Source organism: Homo sapiens, chromosome 18 (genome assembly GCF_000001405.40).
Source record: "Homo sapiens chromosome 18, GRCh38.p14 Primary Assembly".
Taxonomy (NCBI): domain Eukaryota; kingdom Metazoa; phylum Chordata; class Mammalia; order Primates; family Hominidae; genus Homo; species Homo sapiens.
Genome location: NC_000018.10, coordinates 75,136,594 through 75,141,916, shown reverse-complemented (window position 1 = coordinate 75,141,916; position 5,323 = coordinate 75,136,594). Strand labels below are relative to the sequence as shown.

Genomic DNA, 5,323 nt, shown 5'->3' with positions numbered 1-5,323 from the left:
TTGCTGTCAGCGCTGCCGCAGCTGTGTCCCGCGATGGCAGCCAGGAGAGCCTGCAGCAGGAAGGCTGGTGCCGGTGAGGAGGTCCGGGAGGGCCAGCATGGAGCGGAGGACTGAAGCGGGTCTTGGAGGATCTTAGAGGATGAGGAAGCTCCAGGAGGGAGGCTCACAGCAGTGCCTAGGTGCAAGGCAGGTGGCCTGGAGCACTGAGGAAGGACCACTGACCACTGGCTGAAATGAACATTGTGGGCGGGGAAGGGGTTTGACCTACGACTTCCGGGGAGTCTCAATTTCAGATGTCTTTTCCCACTGTCAAGCAACTTGTCAGACTGAGCCTTCTGGTAGCAACTGGGAAGATAGTGCCAGCTCTTTAGGGGAATGTGAGGCTTTTGGAAAGTGAGTTTAGTCCCTAATACTCCAATAAGGAGATTGGAATTCATCCCGTGGGCCGTAGGAATCCATCCAGCGTTCTAGTCCAGAGAACTGTCTGAGATGGCTACACTACTGTGACCAATGACCACAAATGTAGTGGCTTAAAGCAGCACAGATTTCTTCTCCTACCCTTCTGGGGGTCAGAAGTCTAGAATGGGTTTGCGGGGCTATGTTCCTTCTCCCAGTGAGAACACATCCCCTTGCCTCTTCCAGCTTCTAGATGCCACCTGCATCCCCTGGTCCATGGCTCCTTCCTCCATATTCAAAGCCATGGCGCAGCACCTCCAATCTCTCTCTCTGCCTCCATGGTCACTTCTCCTTCTTGCTTAGATCTCCTGCCTCCTTCGTATAAGGATCCCTGTGATTACATCCAGTCCACCAAGACCACCTCTCCATTTCAAGGTCCTTCATCCCAACTGCAAAGTCCTTTTTGCTGTGTAAGGAACAGATTCACAGACTCTGGGGACTAAGATGTGGACATCTTTGGGGGAACGTTATTCTGTCCATCACAAAAATGGCCCAGTAAATAATAACAACAGTAATAATGCTAAGTGGAGTGCATTGAGCACTATTTAGTGCCAGGTACTTCTTCTGTATTTTGTCTAACCACTACCATGTGGTAGATAATACTCCCACTTTACAGAAAGACAAACCAAGATTCAGAGCTGAAATGACTTGCTCCCTGTCCTCCTAACTTATAAAAACCTGTCTTGGCACCAAAGTGTCTGACTCCAAACCAAAGATTTCTACCAAAGCAGCATCGGAGGACGTAGATGTGATATTTTGTGCTTGGTTGTGGTAATAGCTTAGTTTCCATAGGTGTCTGTGACTTAAGTAGCCTGGAAAATGTCTTTACTGAGCACGTTATTCACCAAGCTTGCACCCAATGCCTGTTATGGACTGGGCTCCAGCCAAGTCCTGATCCTGAGGGTCTCAGCCCAGTGCAGGTGGCAGAGACCCTCTGAGCCTCCCACGAGTGCAATAACAGGCCATGAACGAGGCACCACTGGGCCCAAAGGAGACAGCTTTTCCCTCTGTCTGGAAAGGTTAGAGAAGATTTCCCAGAGGGGAAGACATTTGAGCGGAGACTTGAAGGTGAAGAATGAGGAGGATTTTATCATGTGCAGGAGGCTTGCGGCTGGGAGGGGAGGACAAATCAAGCAGAGGACATTGCCAGTGCAAGAATGTGTGTGTGTGTGTGTGTGTGTGTGTGTGTGAGAGAGAGAGAGAGAGAGAGGGAGAAACAGAGACAGAGTGAGGCACAGGGACAGAGAGATACAGAAATACAGACAGAGAGTCAGAGACAGAGACAGGCAGAGACAGAGAGATACAGAAATACAGAGAGAGAATCAGAGACAGAGAGAGGCACAGAGACAGAGATACAGAAATAGAGATAGACAGAGACAGCGAGATACAGAAATAGAGAGAGACAGATACAGAGACAGAGAGACAGAGAGAGGTACTGAGACAGAGAGATACAGAAATAGAAAAAGAGACAGAGTTAGAGACAGACAGAGAGAAAGACACATAGACAGAGAGAGACAGAGGCATCAAAGAGAAAAGACAGAAGGGAAACCATGTATGCAGACGCAGAAGAAAGTGAGAGACAGAGAGGGGGACAAGGAGCGAGGAATCCAGAAGCTCTGGACTAGGAGGGAGTGAAGGCCTGAGGAAGGTGCGTCCATGCTGCATTGAGAGCACTGAGTGTGGAGCACAGCGTGGGAGGAGGGCCCGGGGAAGGTGGGGGTGACCGCCTGGGGTGCGTCCTGCATGGCTAGGAACCAACTGTGCAAATGTGGGGCAAGTTTCTCAGCTCCTACAGTCCCACTTTCCTATCTAGTAACAGAGTTAGGTCCAATTATTTCTGGGTCTCTCAACATTCCAGATGGGCTGGTTCTAGCTGCTCTCAGAGTTTTCCCGCTGTGTTGGTGTGACCGACCCAGGACAGACATCGCTGCTCTTCCACTCCTGGCCCCTCCAGTGTGTGCTGATGGCTGAGGAAGGGACTCTGGAGATGCCAGCTCCCCAGCCATCAAGCCCAGGAGGCCCCATTCCATGAAGCCCCCAGGGCCGGCAGCAAAGCCCGGGGCTGGCAAGGGGAGCAGGTGTGTTTGCAGACTGGGTGGAGGCCGGCTTCCTACGGGGCTCCTCTCCTCTCCCTCCACTCTCTCTCGTCTTGAAAGACCATCCCACAATCCAACTGCAGGACACACTCGCGCTCAGGAGCTCAACTGAGTTGCTACAAACGTGAAAAACTGGAAACAACCTGAACACCTACCCACAGAGGACGGCTGAGTAAATGATGTGCATCCACATGTGTTACATTTTGGAGTCATTAAAAAACACGTTTATGAAATGTTAATGGCCTGGAAAAATGCTCATCACAAAACGTTAGGGCAAAAAACAGTTTCTACTTTCTGGTTTTCAAACTAGGAATATAAGTTAACCATTCAGAATTAAATTTGAAAAGCAATAAAAAATAAAAATGTGAGGTTGTTTTATAACAATCGTACATGTATGTCTGCATATGTAGACCTGTGTGTGTGTGTGTGTGTGTGTGTGTGTGTGCATGTGAATGAAAGGAAATATACCAAAATGCTAACAGATGTTATTTCCAGGAGGGAGAATTTTGGATAATCGTTATTTTATTTATATTTTTCTGTATTTACACATTTTTATAGTAAGCATGGATTAATTTTTTATTCTGAAAATAGAAAAAAAATACATGAACAAAAACATGGTGATTTGCGCCGCTTCAGATGGGACCATGAGTCCATGCCTTGAGCTCTGTGTTGGGTGCTGATATCTTTGGCTTAAGGCAGCTTCTCGTTGGGTGAGCACAGACATTCTGAGATGCCGGCTTCTGGGTGTTCTGATACCTGGAGATGCCTCTGAGCCAACTGGGGCTCATGCAAATTGTTCCATCTGCCCAAAGTGGCACTGGCATGCCCCGTACCACCACCAGGAGCAGGGCCTCATGGGAGGCATTTAGGTCATGAGGGCTCCACCTTTATGAATGGATTCATGACATTATGAAAGGGCTGGAGGGAGTTTGGTCCTCTTTGTCCTTTCACCCTCCAGAGATGAATGGATTCATGACATTATGAAAGGGCTGGAGTGAGTTTGGTCCTCCTTGCCCTTTCACCCTCCAGAGAAGGCAGCGTTCCAGGTACCATCTTGGAAGCAGAGAGCAGTTCTCACCAGACACTGAACTGCAGCCCTCTGGCCTTGGACTTCCCTGCCTCCAGAATGGTGAGAAATAAGTTTATGTTCTTTATATTAGTTTTTCTTTTTTTACTTTTTTTTTTTTTTGAGATGGAGTCTCACTCTGTTTCCCAGGCTGGAGTGCAGTGGTGCAATCTTGGCTTAGTGTGACCTTCGCCTCCTGGGCTGAAGTGATTCTCCTGTCTCAGCCTCCTGAGTAGCTGGGACTACAGGCCCACGCCACCACACCTGGCTAATTTTTGTATTTGTAGTAGAGATGGGGTTTCACCATGTTGGCCAGGCTGTTCTCAAACTCCTGATCTCAAGTCATCCACCTGCCTCGGCCTCCCAAAGTGCTGGGATTACAGGCGTGAGCCACCACGCCCAGCCAGTCTCTGTTCTTTATAAATTACGAAGTCTGTGATTCTCTGTTGTAGAATTGACTCAGACAGTCAAAGGCATTTGTTTTACAATTCATGTGTCTGCATTCTTTCCCAGGTTCTGAGGCTGAGGATGAAGATGAGGGCCCTGCCCAGAGCTGGGAGAGGTGGAGCTGCACGAAGATGCCACATGGTGAAGCAAAACCTTAACATCCCATCGCCTCATCTTTCAGGGGCTTCTGTTCCGGGAAGTGGCTCCCAAGAAATTACTGGTGGATTGTTGGTGCTCTGAGGGTGAAGAGGTGAAGGAGGAAGATAAAAAGGAGCAGCCGCAGCTTTCCGGTGTAGCCCCCTCTGCTCTGCCCCGTTGCCCAGACACCCGGCGTTGGGCATCAATGGAGCACAAGTACTGTTCTCTAGGCACATCCGTTCTGGGACCATTCTCACATCCTGAGGATAAATTTCTACAACACTCATGCTGTGCTCTCCCTGAAAATTTTGCCTCTGTTTTGAGCCATTATAATGATTCAAGTAGAGACTTCAGAGAAATACCGCCTCTCATGAAAAAGTCTCAGTAAATACACTCCTCAAAATTTTCATTCTTAATATATCAGTAGCTTTTCAGTTCATTATAGTGTTATTAGTCAGTCTTCATAAAAGTGCTATGCATCTTTATTAAAAATGGAAGTTCACATCATTTTATGTTCCCATAAAAATGGGTGGTGGTAGCTTTGATTAATTTCTTCACATACAGTGAACTTTACAGCAAATTGGACAGTGTAATTCAATTCCTATTTCTGCAGATTTTTTTGTTGGTAGAAAATTGATATCATTCATATGTAATCATATTGCCTTTGCAAGAGATATTTAAGAAATAATATCCTGAGGTAATGATCGCATGGCTTAATTATTAATACCGTACTTTCACATGTGGAGCGCACATTCCTTTTATCAAGCTTGACTTCTATCAGAAAATATTTCTTCAGTCCAGATTCAGCTGCGTGTGCCACCGACGTGCACATGAGTGTGTGTGTGTTGGCGCTTTAAAACTGTTTCTTTTCTTCACGGCTTGAGCATCGTTTCTAGGGTAATCATTGGTATGAAGAGGTCTACCAACTTAACTATAAAGTCCAAGCCAGAGGGAAACCTGAAAAATAAGGACCAAAATTCAGACGGTCCCCCACCCACCACCCACTCCCCAGATGCCAAGCAAATCTACTGGGTCTCTTTCAAATGAAACAATTGCAGACCAGAAAAAGTTTATCAGGGTTTGGATGCTGTATTAGGGCTCTCCAGAGAAGCAAACCGTG

General features: G+C 47.3%; 1 long non-coding RNA gene across 1 annotated transcript; it reads left to right on the top strand.

The window, feature by feature from the left end:
* The first annotated feature begins 2,236 nt into the window (after nucleotides 1–2,236).
* On the top strand, nucleotides 2,237–4,908 carry LOC124904325 (uncharacterized). Its single transcript, XR_007066416.1, has 2 exons — nucleotides 2,237–3,681; nucleotides 4,132–4,908. It is a non-coding gene; the product is annotated as an uncharacterized LOC124904325 (long non-coding RNA).
* Nucleotides 4,909–5,323: the final 415 nt, after the last annotated feature.